Raw genomic sequence first — 19,482 nt, 5'->3', positions numbered from 1 at the left:
ATATATAAAATATATTTATATTTAATATATTTATATATAAATATATAAAAATATATTTATATTTAATATATTTATATATAAATATATAAAAATATATTTATATTTAATATATTTATATATAAATATATAAAAATATCTTTATATATAAATATATAAAAATATATTTATATATAAATATATAAAAATATATTTATATATAAATATATAAAAATATATTTATATATAAATATATAAAAATATATTTATATATAAATATATAAAAATATATTTATATTTAATATATTTTATATATAAATATATAAAAATATATATATATTTATATACAAACACTAAAAATATATATATATATATTTTTTTTTAATGGAGTCTCACTCTGTTGCCCAGGCTGGAGTACAGTGGCACAATCTTGGCTCACCACAACCTCTACCTCCTAGGTTCAAGTGATTCTCCTGCCCCAGCCTCCCAAGTAGCTGGGATTACAGGCGTGTACCACCATGCCTGGCTAATTTTTGTATTTTTAGTAGAGACGGGTTTTCACCATGTTTGCCAGGCTGGTCTTGAACTCCTGACCTCAGGTGATCCACCAGCCTCGGCCTCCCAAAGTGCTGGTATTACAGGTGTGAGCCACCATGCCCGGCCAAGCAGAGATTTTTGTTAGCTTCATCAAGTAAATAAAAATTGGAATCCAGGAACCGTGAAAGAGGAAGGTCCCAAATAAACTTTCATGATTTTTGTTAGAACCCCTAGAAGCTGTTAACTTAGAAACAAAGGTGAACTAGAATAATCTGGCCCTCACTGGGACTAAAGACTAGCTTTAAATAATATCGATCCCTATATTAAGATTAAGGAATAGCCATGTCCCTTGTTGCCTTCCAAGAATAAAGGTAAATCCTCTTATGGTCCAAGTTATTTCTATATCTTAAAATATATAATCACCAGTAGACGGCAAAAAATAATCAGGCACGTGAACCAACAAGAACATGCAATTTAAAACCAAGAGAAATAATAGACATTATAAATAGTCCCATGTTGGATCTGGATACTATATTTTAAAAGAATAAAATGTAAAATCTAGAACTTGGAAAATACAATAATTAAAATTAAAAACTCATTACATGCTTAATTTTACACTAGATAGAGTTGAAGAGGGAATTCATGAACCGGAAGAAGAAGATATCCAGAATGAAACACAAAAACAAAAAAGGATAGAAAATATAAGAAAGAGTGTAAGAGACAGGAGTTCAGTGAAAAAGATCTAAAATACATGTACTGGAAGTACCAGAAGAATAAGATAAAGGGAAAAGGACACAAACCATATTTAAAGAGACAATGGCTGATAATTTTCCAAAAAATAGTGAAAATCATGAAGCCTCCTTTTCAAGAAACTCCAAAAATGTCAAGCAGAATAATTCAATATAAAATCACAAGACATATAATGACAAAATTACTAAAAGCAAGCAAGCAAACAAACAATCAGGGAGGAAGGAAGGAAGGAAGAGAAAGAAAGAAGAAAAATCTTAAAAGCAGCCAAAGGAGCTTCAAAGCAACAATTAGATTTACATCACACTTCTCTACAGAGACAATGAAAGTCAACAGACAATAGAATGATAGAATGATATCCTCAAAATACCTGCAAAATATAAATCTGTAATCAGTAAAAAGAATTTCAAAAATGAAAGTGAAATATACAAAAAAGATACAAACTTAATTTGTGACTGAGAGACACACATTATAAGAAACACTAAAGGACATACAATGAAAATGATTCCAGTTGGAAGCTCAAAGATATAGGAAAGAATGAAAAGCAATCAAAGGGCAAATATGTGGAAAAATCTAAATGAATATTGATGCATAAAACAGTGGTAATAATTTCTGGTGTGATTCTAATTAAATGCAGAATTAAAATACATAAAAACAATGTCATAAATGTGGGAATGGAGAGATTTAAAGTGTTCTAAGATCTTTTCATTGGCCAGTAAGACGTAAAAGTATTAATGTATACTAAACCATAATAAGTCAGTACGTGTGTTTCCACCCCTAGGCAAGCAGCAAAACAAAACAAAAACAGTTTAAAAATATATAATTTCGTATATGTATAATCAGTGGCAGATGTATGGCCACAGCAATATCCATCTTCCCACGTGTTTTTTGGCAATGTGATATTGCCTCTCTCCTAAAAAGAGATGGACTATTTCTCTACTGTCCTGAATTTGGGTGGCCTCTGTCACTTCTTTGTGACAAAGTATATGACAAAGAGTATGACAAAAGTGATGCTGTGTCAATTCCAAGAAATCCATAAACTAGTCTAACAGCTTCTACTTCTGCCTCATGGAAGCCAGCCTTCATGTAAATGTGACTACAGTCAGCCCTCTGTATCTGTGGGTTCCACATCCATGGATTCAACAAACTGCAAATCAGAAATATTTGAAAAAAATCTAAATTGTTGCTCCTGTACTGAACACGTAAAAACTTTTTTTGGTCATTATTCCCAATACAGTATAACAACTATTTACACAGCATTTACATTGTATTAGGTATTATAAATAATCTAGAGATGATTTAAAGTGTATGATAGGATGTGCTTAATATATGCATATACTACTATGTCATTTTATAAAAGGGACTTAGGTATCTTTGGATTTTGCTATATGCAGAGGGTCCTAGAAACAATCCCCAATAGCTACCAAGGGATGACTGTATTTTAAATAGCTGTGCAGTGAGAAGAACAAGCCACGTGGGGAGACTCTACAAGATGAGTCACAATGTGGAGTGAGTGGAAGGTAGGGAGTGAGAGACTGGCCAAAGAGCACCATGGCCTGGATATATGAGTAAAGAAGCCATCTTAGAAGTTAATTCCACAGCCATGCCATGTGGGTCAGAAATCACCTGCCCAACCAAATCCTTCCTTGAGTTCCCTACTTACAAAATTATGACCAAACTAAAATGGTTGTTATAAGTCATTAAGTTTGGGGGTGGTTTGTTATGTAACAACAGATAATCAGAACAGCCACCAAGCCAGGGGCAGGGTGAGAAATGGAATAATAAAACCTACTCTAATCAATCTAAAAGATGGCAAGAAAGATGGAAATAACAAGAATATAATAAAATGGTAGATTTAATTCCTAAGACAGCAACAATTCAATGAACTGAATGTTTCCATTAAAAGACAAAGGTCAGCAGCTAGAATTTACAAAAAAAAATATGATTATAAGAGATAATATTAAAAAATCAGCATATAGAAAGATTGAAAGCAAAACAATGGAAAAAAAAATCCAAACACTGACCAAAATAAAAATACTGTGACTACATTAGAAAGGTAAAATTTAAGGCAAAAGCATTATTAGAGATGAAGAGGGATACTTTATAAAGATAAAATATTCCATTCACCAGAAAGAAAAAAATATTTTAAATGTGCGTGCGTACTCAAGACTTACCAAAGACTTGGTGGCAACTGCCTCGGAAACCAGTCCTTGGGTAGGAAATCCTGAACTGTAATTGTCAAATTGCTGCAGGCTATGTGTGGACAAGTCTGGGAGTTAAAAACAATTCCAGAGAAACCCAGTCATAGAGAAGTTCTCATACTTTTGTGAGTTTTATCTCCCGGGGCTTGATCAGGTTCTCATAGTAAGTATCAAAGGAAAATCCCCCTCATGCTTCCGGTAATGGGAGGAGAAAAGGAATGCTTTGGAAATATGCCAGAAGCACTCTGTTCTTAACAAGGCCTGCTCTCAGGAGAAACTCTAACCAGACTCTAACCTGCTGGGGTTTTATCAGAAGTTAACCTGGGGGAAGAGAAATGCCTAACTCCAGCCTGCTTTAGCTGTCCTGTCCCACAGCGGGCACTGAGAAGCGCTTGTGAAGTTCACAGTCTGGAGGCGCAGGCTCACTCAATTTGTTCACATGTAATAATATAGTCTTAGAATATAGAGCAAAAATGTAAAGCACTTCAAGAAGCAGTGGATGCATCCACAATCCAACTGGGAGATTTAAAAATACTTTGAGAGTAAGTAAATTAGCTTATCAGTTCATTTAATCTTCTTGGCGTCTTCATTCAACAGGTAAGAAGTATGTTAGACGCTTTGCTCTGAGTGGAATACAAACTCTATCAAAGAAATTGTTCCAAGTGATAATTCAAGCCAAAGAAATTAACGTGAATGCCAAGTTTAATCAGAAATCTTAAGGTTTTTCATCCAACCTCTGCTTAAACTCTATCAACTGAGAGATCTGGGGAGGGGACCAGGAAGGACAATCTGTCTGGAATCTCACAGAGATAATTTTCCAAATCAACCTATTTATGAACTTATGAGACTGTGTCTGTGATAAACATTCCTGACATGGACTTAGCAGTGGTAGGCACTATGTTACAATGAGGTAATCAACAAATCCGAAACTGGATTATCATTCCAGACACACCTACCCATTCCTTAGAACAAATCGGCTGAACTTACTCCTCCGTGGTTCCATTTTCTCATGTATCCCATGGCAATGATAGTTTACTTCACAATAACAATAATTTCCCAGCCCACACAAATATTCAATTAATAGCCAAATTGTCCCATTTCTCTATCTTCATCTATTAGAAAATGCAATGGAACTGCTATATAGTGAATATCAACATTGATAACCACTATATGACAGTTCCGTTGCATTTTGAATCATTTGCTTAATCACACTTGCCATTCATGATACTTTATCTCTGTTTACACCATCTGCTCCTTAGAATTGAGAATTATTTTACTATTGACTATGGGCCATCAGGAATATGGGTACTTATCATATCTTGGTAAGAGAGCACTCTTTCTTATCTTAACCAAAAAGACATTCAGAAGACTTCAGTTTTAGTTATACTTGGTTACCTTTTTCTTTTTCTAGGTATGCACATCATTGGCACTGCATGAACAGTATGGTTCATTTCAAGCATTGTTTTAAGTATTCCAGTACTGGGATGAATACAGACTCCTGGTAGCTAGACAGAGCACTGGCAGGCTATCACTTTCCATCTCCTGCAGGTCTCTAAATAGAGTCTGGACAAATCTGTCCAGTAGTTCCTGCCAAGTCTTTCTACCTTGACTGTTACCATCACGCCATGCTCCTGATTCTTAGCCAACAATACATTTATTTAAGTCTGCTAAATTAAAATTGAGGAACAGGTTTTTTGCGTACCTGCCAGATAAACAGCAAGGGTCACTCACTAAAGCACAGTCAGAGGAAATCTTCCTACAAAATACCTGCCAAGGGGATGCAGACCCTGTTTAGATACAATAGCTCCTCTAACAGGGAGGCCGAACTGTTGCCTCTAAATTTTCTGGTAACTAAGCTGTCTAGAATGCTTTTTATAAAGCGAATTTACCTTTTCTTCAGTTCCTAACCACAGTCTTCTGGGAAAATGTAACTGCTTTGCTCAGTTTGGTTGATCTTTACTCAAAAGCCAGTCTTATCACCTTAAAGGAACAAAGTGTCTGTTTCACTCTAGTAAGTAGGATGAGTCTCCCCTGGTGATAGTTAATACTCTTCACTATGCTGGGTTTTGTCTTTGATCTGCTGACACAATTGATCTTGAATTTCTATTGGTTCTGAAGCATCTTGTTTTGAGATTTCTCTCGCATGACTTTGTTTAATCCTCTTTCCTTGTCGTTCTGTGCCTAGCCTTTGAACCCCCTGAAGGACTTGGTTTCCACCCCCATCTCTTTTTCTTTTTTACAAATTATTTTTTAAAGCTGATTTAGCAAGATCTTCCTATAGTGTTTTAGAAATAATGTGTGGTAGAGGGAGAAGCCACACAAGTGGACAAGCAGTGGTGCATTCACAGCTCAGTTGTTTTCAAATGTGTATCATGTCCTCAGGGAGTCTGTGAAGTGCTTCTGTTTAAGGCAGTTGGTGTGTTTTTCCCCGTCTCAAGAAAGAGCAAACTAAACAGTCATTAATGTTGTGGTTCTATTTTGCTGCCTTAATTGTAGCTCCCTGAGATTGAAAGCAGTCTGCTGTCAATGCATGGTGCTACCAAAATTTTAACAGTTCTGCATGATCAAGTAATGCCTTGACTTTGAATACTACTTTAATGTTTAAAACCGACGTTCAAGTTTGCATGATCTTCAATGCAACCCTGCATATTGGCAGGACAGGAGTAGACATGGAAACACTAATAACCCAGAGAATCAATAAGAGTTTTTCCAAGAGGCCAAGCTCTTCTCCTTTTTCCTCCTTTAACAGAAATGGATAATACAGTCACCTTAGCCTAAAAGAATCTAAGGTCAACTGAAATAAAGAAGCCAAAGTGAAAAAATGCCTGCCTGAAGCACTGTACACTGTCTTCAGTTTAACAGCTACCCTTCCCTAATGGGGAGCAGAAAGGTGAGCCACTCATCTCCCTTGCTTCAGCAAATAAATAAATAAATAATAATGAGGACAAGGCTATAGTTAGATGCACATTGAAGGGTAATTAGCTAAGTGACTATCATTAAGGTTAATGGACTTCCCTAGGTTAAGTTCCCTTCCATCGTATACCATTGGAAATAGATTGTTTGGGTCAGTGAAGCTATTCTGAGGTCTCCGAAAAGATACAGGCATACCTTGCTTTATTGTGCTTCATTTTTATTTTATTGTGCTTTGCAGATATCACTTTTTTTTTTTAACAAATTGAAGGTTTGTGGCAACCTTGCATCTAGTTGTTGGCACCATTTTTCCAACAGCATGTGCTCACTTCGTGTCTGTGTCACATTTTGGTAATTCTTGGCATATTTCACATTTTTTCATTGTTATTATATGTGTTATGGTGATCTATGATCAGGGACCTTTGATTTTACTGTTGTAATATTTTTGGACTGCCTTAAACCAAGCGCCAAAGATAGTGAACTAACTTAGTTGATAAATGCTGTGTATGCTTCCCTGTCTGTCTCCTGTTTCCCCATCTCTCCCCCTTTCTTCAGGCCTCCCTATTCCCTGAGATACAATATTAAAATTAGGACAGTTGATAACCCTACAATGTCCTCTAAGTGTTCAAGTGAAAGGAAGAGTCGTATATCTGTCACTTTAAATCAAAAGCTAGAAACAATGAAGCTTGATGAGGAAGGCACGTAGCAAGCTGGGCTAGGCCAAAAACTAGGCCTCTGTGCCAGTTAGCCAAGTTGTGAATGCAAAGGAAAAGTTCGTGAAGGAAGTTAAAAGTGCCACTCCAGTGAACACATGCGATATAAGAAAGTGAAACTGGCTTATTGCTAAGATGGAGAAAGTTTGAGTACTCCGGAAACCTGATTAAACCAGCCACAATATTCCATTAAGCCAAAGCCTAACCCAAGCAAGGCCCTAACATTCTTCAGTTCAATGTAGGCTGAGAGAGGTGAGGAAACTGCAGAAGAAAAGTTGGAAGCTAGCAGAGCTTGGTTCATGAGGTTTAAGGAAAGAAGCTGTCGCCACAACATAAAAGTGCAAGGTAAAGCAACAAGGGCTGATGTAGAAGGTGCAGCAAGTTATCCAGAAGATCTAGCTGAGATCATTGATGAAGGTGGCTACCGCTAAAGACATTTTCAGTGTAAATGAAATAACCTTTTAATGGAAGAAGATGCCATCTAAAATTTTCATAGCTAGAGAGAAGTAAATGCTTGGCTTCAAAAGACAGGCTTACTCTCCTGTTAAGAGAGTAATGCAGCTGGTGACATTAAGCTGAAGCCAATTTACCATTCTGAAAATCCATTCTGAAAATCGTAGGGCCCTTAAGAATTATGCTGAATCTACTCTGCCTGTGCCCTATAAATGGAACAACAGGGCCTGGATGACAGCACATCTGTTTACAGCATGGTTTACTGACTATTTTAAGTCCATGTTGAGCCTAGTGCTCAGAAAAAAAGATTTCTTTCAAAATATTACTTCTCATTGACAATGCACCTGGTCACCCAAGAGCCCTGATAGAGATGTACAAAGCGACTAATGTTTTTTTGAAGACTGCCAACACAGCAACCGTTCTGTAGCCCAGTTGAAAGGAGAAATTTCAACTTTCAAGTCTTATTACTTAAGAAATACATTTTGTAAGGTTATAGCTGCCACAAGTAGTGATCCCACTGATGAATCTTGGCAAAGTACATTGAAAACCTTTTGGAAAGGATTCACCATTCTAGATGTCATTAAGAACATGCATGATTCATGCGAGGAGGTCAAAATATCAACACTAACAGGAGCTTGGAAGAAGTTGATTTCTGTCCTTGTGGATGACTGTGAGGAGCCAAGACCAGTAGAGGAAGTAACTGCAGATGCAGTGGAAATAGCAAGAGAACAAGAATGAGAAGTGGAGCCTGAAGATGTGACTGAATTGCTGCAATCTCATGACCAAACTTCAATAGATGAGGAGTTACTTCTTATGGATGAGCAAAGAAAATGGTGTCTTGAGATGGAATCTACTCCTGGTGAAGATTCTGTGCACATTGTTGAGATGACAACAAAGGAATCAGAATATTATCTAAACTTAGTTGAAAAAGCAGTGGCAGCGTTTGAAGAGATTGACTCCAGTTTTGAAAAAATTCTATTGTGGGTAAAATGTTATCAAACAGCATCACATACTACAGAGAAATATTTCATGAAAAGAAGAGCCAACTGGTGTGGCAAACTTTCTTGTTTTCTTATTTTAAGAAATCGGCACAGCTACACCAATCTTCAGCAACATCACCCTGATCAGTCAGCAGCCATCAATGTGGAGACAAGACCCCTCACTGGCAAAAAGATTATGACTCACTGAAGGCTCAGATTGTTAGCATTTTTTAATCAGTAAAGTATTTTAAATTAAGGTGTAAATATATATTTTTGGACATAATGCTATTGTACACTTAATAAACTACAATATAATGTAAACATAATTTTTATATGTGCTGGGAAACAAAAAAATTCAGGTGACTCACTTTATTGTGGTGGTCTGGAACCAAACACGCCTATCTCTGAGGTATGCCTGTACAATCCCATAGCCCACCTTTGGCATGGCTTAACACATAAGTTAGCAACAGCTTCTAAGTTACTCAGGGATAGACTCTGTTTCCTGGACCAGAATATGAAAATCAAGCACTAAGGAGAGTTGATCAACGAGCCGAGTAGACAGTCTGAAAGGGGCTACCACATGTGGCATAAATAAGACCACAGCTTCTGGGAACAGCAGGTAGAGAAATGGAGCCAGCGACAGGGGAGAAAGCAACTCATGAAGGTGCCATGAAAAATCACCTGTCTACTAAATTACAGCAAAACAGCATGCTGGTGAATTTAAGGAAGGTTTTTATGCAAATGGGGATTCACTGCGTTTTTTTTCTTTTTGCACCTGCTGTCAGTAGGCATTAGACCATAAACATCAGCAAACATCGATTAAGCATATTGCCTTGATGAAACTTCAGGCAAAAGAATAAAGTGGTTCAGCAGCTCCAAAGCCCAGAAGACAGATTACTCTTGGTATGGCAATTAGAATGGGGAGAATTGCTGCACCTTCTTTGAAAAAGCACTCTGAGCTTGGGTTCTATAGACAATCTAATAATAGTTGATAGGACTTTAGAGAAAGCACTAGCATTCCCATTATGGTTTTGTAATTTTTTAAAATGTACTTCAGGTATACAAAGTGCTGCATGACCAAAACTATCAATTTCAGTCTATTTCTAAGATATACTTCAGACTAGGTGTTTAAACTAGTTTGCTTCAAGAAATATGTGGTATATTAAATGAAATGAGAAAGACTTTAGGGACCCAGCGTTCCTGCACTTCCTGCAGTAATGTCCATCCCTGAGCTAGATTTTCTGTCAGTTTTCCTGCAGCAGATCAATAACATGAATGTTTCACAAGCAACTTTAAAATGCATTAGTCATGTTGGGATTCATTTCTTCAGTGTTCTTGCTGCTTCTTTGAAGCATGCAGCTGCAGCTGGGCTATGAGCACAAAATAACCTTGTTGGTTGAGATGACATATGTATGTTGTACAGCAGTGCTGTCCATGAACTCCAGGAAATTCTAGTTTTACTTCTAGTTTAAACATACTAGCTGAATATCTGTGAATAAAGTGAAGGTTGTGTAAATTTGTGTATGTGTGTATTTTGTGCACTTAACCAAAAATGTGTATGTTTACACTTAGGTTTCGTATTGTCTCTTTCTTTAAAGTGGAGGGAAAATAAAATTTGTGTTTATTGTTCATTTATTATGTATCAGGCTCCATGCTGGGTGCTCTATATTGTCCTAGTCAGAGAGGACTGGTGCTGGGCATGTGGCCTCTGAAGTCAGGCTGCCTGTGTTCAATTACTAGCTTTGCCATGACTAGCTGTGTAACATGGGACAAGTACTTAACTTCTCTAAGCTTCTGTTTTCTCATGTGTGAAATATGGAGGCTAATTGAAATTACTTCATAGGGTTATTGGGATGATTCAATGAGATAAGGTAAGTAAAGTGCTTTGTATAGGGCCTGGTTTATGGTAATGTTCAATAAATGAGATGCTATAGTATCTCATTTATTGTGAATACAATAGTATCTCATTTGGTATGAGAACAATCCTTGGAGATACAGAGCATTAGCCCTATTTTATAGATGTAAGAACAGAGGTGAAGGAAAATGAATGAACTTCCCCCATAATTTGAGAACTAGTAATGATCTCCTCTATGAAAAATCTATGTGAATTTTCAAATAAGTGAACAACTATATTCATTAGGGAAATGCTAGCTGCTACAACAAATAAACCTCAAGTTTTGAAATGCTCAAATACAACAAAAGTTTATTTCTCCTGTGGAATATTTCTACGTGGTTTCCTAGTTGGTGAATGGCTCTCCTTGCCATGACTCAGACATCCAGCTTTCTTCCATCTGGGAGTTCTGCCATCCCCTAGGGCCTTGATGTCACTTATATCCAGCCAGCGTAATGGGAAAGGGAACATGGAAAAGAAATAATGACTTCTTAAAAGCCATGGCTCATTGTGACACGTCACTTCCGCTGACATTCCATTGGTAAGTACTAGTCATATGTCCACACCTAGATGCAGAGGGTGCTGGGAGACACAGTTCCTGGCCAGACAGCTGCTTCCCAGTGACAAATCTACTTTATGTAAGGAGGAATGTCAACACAAGATAAGATTCATTCCCTGGTGCCAGTGGGTTGAATTAGCATCTTTAAACACGATGGAAATTATTCAATTTGGTGGCTTTCTTTTATTTTCCTTCTTACTTCGTAAAATTTCTCTAAATTAAAACTTCTTCAACCTTCTACCTATTATTGTCTTTATTCCTTGCCAAGGGAACTTCAGATCAATCTATTTCAGGGCCCTAAACAGCTATCTCATGGATCACTAATGGTGCCATGCTAAGGCTGATGCAGAAAAGAGCAAGATGCAGAAAAGAGCAAGAAGAATCGAGCCAATTCCATTTATAGCCTGAAGCTCTGGTTTTGTTATGTATGTGCTTTTCTGGGCTTCAAATATTGATAAGGGCCGTCAAATGAGTTCACCTTTCAAAAAAAAAAATCAAAGACTTGTGCTGATTGTGAACTAGAGGGGTTTTGCATTCAATAGCTAATATCAACCCACAGAAGAATATACTAAATGCCTGGAAGTGGAGTTCAGTGAAATGAATAATTAAAGAAGACCACATACCTAATCAATGCCCCCTGTTTCAGATATCTACTGCTGCATAAGGAACCACTTCAAAGCAAAAGCTTTAAGCAAAAACCATTTCCTTATTCTCATGATTCACTGGGTTGGCTGGGCTCATCTGGGCAGTTCTTCTGCTCCACATGTTGTCAACTGAGACTGTGGGCATCTGGGGGCTCAACAGGACCAGACTGTCCAAGTTGGCTCTCTCATATGCCTGGGACCTTGGTGGAGATGGTTGGACAAGGCTTCTCCCTTTCCATATGGCCTCTTCATGAGGTCTTTCCATGTAGTATCTCCAGAAGGGTAGCAACTCTTCTAACACGGAAGCTCAGAATTTCCAAAAGCGCAGAAGTGGAAGCCTCCAGGTCTTCTCAAGACTTAGCTCCAGGACCAGCACTAGATTCTGCCAAGTTCTGTTGGTTAAAGAGAGTCACAGGTCCAGTCCAGGTTCAATGCGGGAGAGAAGAGAAAAGGATACATACTAAGACATGTGGCCCACTGGGCACCATCTAACAGACTAGTTATTACACTTCTAACTCAACAGTGAGAATAAGCACCATGCTCCATTCCAGGTCTAGTGAACTCAGGATGACCTGAGAAGAAATTTGATGTATTTATCCTCTCATTTGTTTCCTTTCAGTTTACTTTTTTTCTAGGAGTCAGGTTTACAGGGGAACATTGTGACTCCATAGTCACAATTCTCAGGGTGAGAAAAGGCAGAAGGTAGTCATCTGAGATTCTAATAAAAAAGCCTAATTCTATTTATTTAGAGATGGTTCTCTCACTGTTCTACTGTTAGATAACCGAACAGTTGGCATTAAGAGGGCAGAATCAAGTAGAACAAGAGGATGATGGGGAGCAGACAATCAAATAATCCCATAACAAATGCAATTGCAACTGTGACAAGTGCCATGGAGAAATGTTAGAGGCTGGGAGAATAGTAGGGAGCTCCTGTGCTCATCTGGACAAAAGCTGATGAGTGTTGGCCCTGAAGGAATGGCAGTGACCTTTCAGAAAAAGAGATGTATTTTAGAAACATAAAGTATATGTAATCCAAAGCATTTGATGACCAGAGTCATTAGAAGGGAGGGAGAATAACTGAGTTTAGGGGCTTGAGTGACTGGATGAATGAGGAAACAATCAGATACCAAGAAAGAAAAGGGAGGAGGAGGAATACATTGGGGATAAATGATGGAGGGTTCACTTTTGGACACACAGTTTGAGGTATTTGTAGGAGATCTAGTAAAGCTGTACAGTGGGCAATTGAAAACATGTCTCTGTGGTGTACGTTTGCTTTTTTCCTTTCCTTTCCATTCTTTGCTTTCCCTTTCTCTCTCACTTATTTCTATTGTCCAATGTCATCTGCTTTGGATAGATGGAAAATTCCCCACTGAATGCATCCTGATGAGGGACAGCCCATATCCCAACATAAAATCTTAAAAGGCCAGATTTTTGTTTTCCTGGCCCCCTTGCAGCTAGGATATGTACACATGATCTAGGTTTGGCCAATCAGATGCACCCATCTGAGAGTCTGAATTAGGAGCAAGTTGCTCAAAGAAGCAAGGTCAGTGGAGAATTCATTCTGGAGGTGGCAACAACACCCATTTCCCAAGGAGTAACACTGGCAGAACAAACTGCAGTGTCCAGTGTTTGGGGCAGTAGGGACCTCCTTGGACAAATGCTGTGGCTTAGCTCTGCCTCCCTTTCTTCCAGCCTATTTTCTATGTCTTGTTCTCCAGTTTTTCGAACAACTCTGGGAGCTACACAGTATCTCTTTGATAATTTACTTTAGTGCTTCAGTTAGCCTCTGTGTCTTGTAGCTTAGGTCCCTGGCCAGCTCAGATACTCTAAAACCTGGAGGAGGGACTGGGGATTCATCAGAGGAAAGATGAAGCTTACAGGCATAGGGGAATGAGATTGTCCAGGGAGAGAGAGTGGAGGTCAGAAAAGAAATGGGCTGCAGCCAGGAGCCTGAGGCACAGCCACAGTGAAAGCATAAGCAGAGCAGAACACCAACACAGTACCTCTGAGGAAAATCACTTAAAGGCTTTTCTTCCTTTTCCAGATCAAGAGTGAAATCATCCAGAATAGAGTGAATTCGGGCTTCAGAGCGGCTGTTTAGGATTCAGAGCTCTACCAACATGAGCAATCTGTTGGCATGACAGGTCAGAGAAGCCGTGAAGGACATGGAAGGAAGTAGATGGAACTGGAAACAGGAGGCCAACCCCAGCAGTCAGGCAAGTACCATCCAGAGAACAGGAAATGTAAAAGGATCAGGTATAGCTGGAACACCTAGGCAGAGGGACTTCGGAAGTTCAAAGTTAGGGAGAATAGCACTGGCAAGAAGGCTGCACCAAGATATGTGCTGCTCCCAGGGCAGAGGCTCTTTACTAGCCTGTCCTTTCACACTGTTCACCACCTGCCTGGGAGTGTCTAGGCCAGGACTTACAGGTTTAAGAATAAGAACTCCATGGGGCATGGAATTTATAATTGAAGCAGGGCAGAATCGTTAGGCCTCCAATTGAAGCAGGGCAGACTCCCTAGGTCTCCTAGGAAGTTCTTGTTCCAGGCAACACAGATGACTGGGTAGTTTAAGTTATAAAAATATTTTATCCAAATTAGAACCAAACAATACATAATTTATTTATGGTTGTGAATTCATCCTTGCTGTGAATAGCTGCTACAGGTAGGGTGCTATTGGTCAGCATCTCATAGTTCCCTGAGACCTGCTGCAGGCACTACCTCTCACATCTAATTGGTACTCTGTCATACTCACTGCCCTGAGCTTTAATTGTCCAAGTCTTTTCAATTAGGCTGAAGCATCTCATAGCATTGAATACCTCTTTTATCCTTCCCCAAATTGGCCAGCAAAGCACAAGCATATATAAGTATTCAGTAAGTATTTGACCTAGATGGCTTATATATAAAAAAAACCAACACTAAGCTTTTATGGCTAAAATTTAAAACTAATCCCTATCATAGGTCATGGTATATTTCTCTTACCATTGCTTTTTCTTTCTTGTTCTAGTGGTGCTCAGAAAAAAATAAGACACTGAAATTTGAGGACTTAATGGAGTTTGGTGCCTTCAGTTAGCTGATGTCTATGAAGCCTGACCAGTCTACTTCTAGTCTATAAGATCATGTGGAAGCTTCAGTGACAAACTTCTACTTTACTAATGATTTTATGATCCTGTTACCCATTGCAATTGCTTAAATGGTATTTTAATTAGCTGCTTTAAATGACTTTGCTTTTTTACAAAAAGCAGTGTGTGCTTTAGTTTAAAATATGGGTCACTGGTGTTTCTTTCTAGAAGATGACTGTGTTTAGTACCAGGGAAAATTGGTGATGTATTTGGAGAGGTTTTAACTTCTGTAACTCAGGTTGATATCTGGAATGTGAGTGTTTCCATACTTCCGTGGATGCAGCAAATTTATATAAAGCGTTATTAAATTTGTTCTAGTTTTTAAATACTGTTAATTCTTTCATGGGCTTTCTATATTGCCAGTTTTTTTTTATGGTATCTGCAACAAGTCAATAAGCTGTGTTTATGTTTGTATACTGTTTTAGAAAGGAGGATTGACCCAGAACATTATGTGCTAGGAGAAATAAAAAGACTCTGCTATGGATACAGATTTGCTTTCCCTGTACGTAATGCTTCTGCCAAAACTACCATCTGTGAACTTACAGAATGCCTTATCCACCATGATGGTATTCCACACAGCATTGCTTCTGATCCAGGAAATTACTTCACAGCAAATCAAGTGTGGCAATGGGCCCATGCTCAGGGAATTCACTGGTCTTACCATGTCCCCCAACATTCTTAAGAAGCTGGCTTGATGGAACACTGGTATGGCCTTTTGAAGACTCTGTTACAGGTAGGCCTTATAGTTTCGTGCCATCTAGGTGGCAATATCTTGCAGGGCTGGGGCAAGGTTCTCTGTAAGGCTGTATACACTTTAAATCAGTATCAAATATATAGTACTACTGGATGTATAGTACCCACAGCCAAGATTCGTGGGTCCAGGAATCAAGGGATGGTAATGGAGTGGCATAATTATTACTCCTACTGACTCACTAGCAAAATGTTTTCTGTCCCTGTGACCTTATGCTCTGCTAGCTACGAGGTTTTAGTTCAACCAGGATCACAGTAATGATTCTGACATGCAGCCATTTTGGGATCCTTATGCCTCTAAATCAACAGACAATGAAGGGTGTTGCTATACCAGCTAGGGTGGTTGACTCTGACTACCAGGGAGAAATAAGACTGCTATCCCACAATGAAGGTAATGAAGACTACATCGGGAATACAGGAGTTCCCTTAAGGCATCTCTTGTTATTACAGTGTCCTGTGATTAAAGTCAATGGAAAACTACAATAATCCAATCTGGGCTGGGCTACGATTGGCCCAGACTCTTCAGGAATGATAGATTTGCATGTCATCCTCACCCCCGTTTTCAGGTAAAGAACTATAAATAACTATAACAAGCTAAGGTGCTTGATGAGAACAAAGGGAACATGGAATAGGTAGTGGAAGAAGGCAGTTATAAATACCAGCTACAGCCACATGACCCGTTACAGAAATAAGGACTGTCATTCACATGAGCATTTCCTCCTTATTTTGTTATATGTGTATGTGTGTATCAAACATCTTTGTTTTCTTCCTACTCTTATCCCTTTATCACCTAACATACGATATATGTCATAGTATTTAGCTTGTCTTTATCAAAGTATTTAAGTTCTGAGATATCAAGGAGAAGAGTAGGCAACACCCAGGGACTTTGAATCCTCTTCTGGAGAAAGTAATTGTACATTTTCACTTATATGTAAGATAGTTGTATTTCACGCCTGTAATCCCAGCACTTTGGGAGGCCGAGGCAGGAGGATTACCTGAGGTCAGGAGTTCAAGACCAGCCTGGCCAACATGGTGAAACTCCACCTCTACTAAAAATACCAAAAAAATTAGCCAGGCATGGTGGTGGGTGCCTGTAATCCCAGCTACTTGGGAGGCTGAGGCAGGAGAAGCACTTCAACCGGGTGGTGGAGGTTGCAGTGAGCTAAGATCACGCCAGTGCACTCCAGCCTGGGCAACAGAATGAGACTCCATCTCAAAAAACAAACAAAAAAAGAGATAGTTGTATCATGTTGGGTGGAAATGTGACCCTGCTATTATCTTTATTTTTATGATTAAGTATGGTTTAAGAAGATGCATACGGGTGCCAAGTTGACAAGGGACAGACTTCTGATGCTTAATTTTAATGTGTCAACTTGACTGTGCCTTGGTGTCTAGATATGTGATCAAACATTATTCTGGATGTTTGGGCAAGAGCGTTTTGGGGTGAGATTAACATTTAATTTGATAACTTTGAGTAAAGCAGATTGCCCTGCCTTATGTGGATGGGCCTCATCCCGTCAGTTCTAGACCTGAATAGAACAAAAGCCCGACCTCCCTGAGGAAAGAGACTTCTGAAACAGATGGCCTTCAAACTTGAACTGCAACATCAGCTCTTTCCTGGGTCTCCAACCTGACAGCCTACTTTACAGATTTTGGACTTAACCAGCCTCTGTAATTGTATGAGCCGATTTCTTAAATAAAACCTCTTTGTATACATTCATTTGCACATCCTATAGGCCTGTTTCTCTGGAGAACCCTGACTATTGGATTATTAGGAGCTTTTCGGTTAGAATGGGCACGGGCCAGCTTGTGGTCCTGAAAACATGGCAAACTGAGTTAACCGGCTCCCATTCCTAAAACACATACATAAAAATAATACACAAATGACACATAAAAATGAATATAATGCTGAACTTAAATCTCTAGCTGCAAGAAATGAGAAAATTTGCCATGATGGAAATGCTCTGTATCCTAATTACACAAATTTATATGTATTAAAATTCATAAACTCTAACTTCAAAAATGCCAACTTTACTATATGTTAGGGGTTTGTTTTTTTTAAGGAAATGATGAGGAACAGAAGCCAGAGTGCTATGCTTGTGAGTGGACATGGTAGAAGATAGAATCCAGGAATCAAACCTGGATAGGGCACTATCCCAAGCTAGGGGTCAGAATACAGAACAGGAAATGTGTCCTTGTGCTTCTCAAGGTAAAATCACGAAAACAAAATTCCAGCCAAAATTGGAACCCTGGAAAAGTTACCTCCTTGATGAAAAGGTGTCCCAACAAACTTCAAACTTCTTGCCACAGGCTGAGAAAAGTAAATGGTAAGGCACAGAACGTTTATCTCTATTATGGGGTCTGAATAGAAAGATAAAAGTCTACAGTTAAAAAAAAAATCCAAATCCCAAGCCTATAAACCATGTACCAACAGGCAGTGCAAATTTTCATTGCTCACAGGTGCAGGAGTTATTAAGCCAAAAAATTAATGTAAACATTGATTCCAGAGCAGTGAATCCCTGAGATATCTGAAAAAAAGCAAAATTAAAACTTCTCTAGTAAGATATTGTGTCTGGAATTGGTGGGTTCTTGGTCTCACTGACTTCAAGAATGAAGCCGCAGACTCTCGTGGTGAGTGTTGCTGTTCTTAAACGCAGCGTGTCTGGCGTTTGCTCCTTCTGATGTTCGGATGTGCTCCGAGTTTCTTCCTTCTGGGGGGTTCATGGTCTCGCTGGCTCAGGAGTGAACCTGCAAACCTTTACGGCGAGTGTTACAGCTCTTAAGGCAGCACGTCTGGAGTTGTTTGTTCCCCCATGGTGGGTTCGTGCTCTCCCTGGCTTCAGGAGTGAAGCTGCAGACCTTCACAGTGAGTGTTACACCTCATAAACGCAGTGTGGACCCAAAGTGACCAGCGGCAAGGTTTACTGCAAATAGCAAAAGAACACTGGCCCCACAACGTGAAAGGGGACCGCAGTCGGTTGCTACTGCTACCGAGGGCAGCCTGCTTTTATTCTTATCTGGCCCCACCCACATCCTGCTGATTGGTCCATTTTACGGAGAGCCGATTGGTCCATTTTACAGAGAACTGATTGGTCCGTTTTGACAGGGTGCTGATTGGTGCGTTTACAATCCCTGAGCTAGACACAAAAGTTCTCCACCTCCCCACTAGATTAGCTGGATACAGAGTGCCCATTGGTGCGTTCATAAACCCCGAGCCAGACACAGGGTGCTGATTGGTGTGTTTACAAACCTTAAGCTAGATACAGAGTGCCGATTGGTGTATTTAAAATCCCTTAGCTAGACATAAAGGTTCTCCAAGTCCCCACCAGAGTAGCTAGATACAGAGTGTGGATTGGTGTATTTACAATTCCTTAGCTAGAGGTAAAGGTTCTCCAAGTCCCCACCAGACTCAGAAGCCTAGCTGGCTTCATGCGGTGGATCCTGCACCAGGGCCTCGCAGGTGGAGCTACCTGCCAGTCCCGCGCCGCCGTGCGCCCACACTCCTCAGCCCTTCCTTGGGTGGTCGATGGGACTGGGCGCAGTGGAGCAGGGGGTGGCGCTCGTCGGGGAGGCTCGGGCAGTGCAGGAGCCCACAGCCAGGGGGAGGCTCAGGCATGGCAGGCTGCAGGTCTGGAGCCCTGCCCCGCAGGGAGGCAGCTAAGGTCCGGCGAGAAGTCGAGCACAGCAGCTGCTGGCCCAGGTGCTAACCCCCTCACTGTCTGGGGCGGCTGGCCGCTCCAAGTGCAGGGCCACTGAGCCCACACCCACCCGGAACTCGCGCTGTCCCGCAAGCGCTGAGCACAGCCCCGGTTCCCGTCCACGCCTCTCCCTCCACACCTCCCTGCAAGCTGAGGGAGCCGGCTCCAGCCTTGGCCGGCCCAGAAAGGGGCTCCCACAGTGCAGCGGTGGGCTGAAGAGCTCCTCAAGCGCGGCCAGAGTGGGCACCAAGGCTGAGGAGGTGCCGAAAGCGAGGGCTGCGAGGGCTGCCAGCACGCTGTC

General features: G+C 40.0%; 2 long non-coding RNA genes across 5 annotated transcripts, besides 2 other annotated features; one reads left to right on the top strand and one right to left on the bottom strand.

The window, feature by feature from the left end:
- Window positions 3,297-4,496: an enhancer, noted in NCBI's record as "BRD4-independent group 4 enhancer chr5:65813935-65815134 (GRCh37/hg19 assembly coordinates)". NCBI's record gives its function as "activates an origin of replication core promoter dependent on BRD2, P300/CBP, MED14 and CDK7 cofactors, and independent of BRD4, by STARR-seq in HCT116 cells {active_cell/tissue: HCT116}" and the evidence as "EXISTENCE:reporter gene assay evidence [ECO:0000049][PMID:35650434]".
- Window positions 10,645-11,844: an enhancer, noted in NCBI's record as "CDK7 strongly-dependent group 2 enhancer chr5:65806587-65807786 (GRCh37/hg19 assembly coordinates)". NCBI's record gives its function as "activates an origin of replication core promoter dependent on BRD2, BRD4, P300/CBP, MED14 and CDK7 cofactors, with strong dependence on CDK7, by STARR-seq in HCT116 cells {active_cell/tissue: HCT116}" and the evidence as "EXISTENCE:reporter gene assay evidence [ECO:0000049][PMID:35650434]".
- On the bottom strand, window positions 10,693-18,485 carry LOC105379002 (uncharacterized). 4 transcript variants are annotated; one of them, XR_948378.4, is made up of 3 exons: window positions 17,746-18,485; window positions 11,591-12,003; window positions 10,693-10,844 (listed from the first exon to the last, which is right to left on the bottom strand). It is a non-coding gene; the product is annotated as an uncharacterized LOC105379002 (long non-coding RNA). The 4 variants fall into 4 exon arrangements; XR_007058795.1 differs by having other exon boundaries at window positions 10,693-12,003; XR_007058796.1 differs by having other exon boundaries at window positions 10,693-12,003; window positions 18,087-18,485.
- Window positions 10,999-15,059, top strand: LINC02229 (long intergenic non-protein coding RNA 2229). The gene is made up of 3 exons (NR_105001.1): window positions 10,999-11,046; window positions 13,656-13,827; window positions 14,619-15,059. It is a non-coding gene; the product is annotated as a long intergenic non-protein coding RNA 2229 (long non-coding RNA).
- Window positions 18,486-19,482: the final 997 nt, after the last annotated feature.

The sequence above is a fragment of the Homo sapiens genome, chromosome 5, assembly GCF_000001405.40.
Source record: "Homo sapiens chromosome 5, GRCh38.p14 Primary Assembly".
Taxonomy (NCBI): domain Eukaryota; kingdom Metazoa; phylum Chordata; class Mammalia; order Primates; family Hominidae; genus Homo; species Homo sapiens.
The sequence above is the reverse complement of the archived record's forward strand: the minus strand, read 5'-3'. Positions and strand labels throughout refer to the sequence as shown.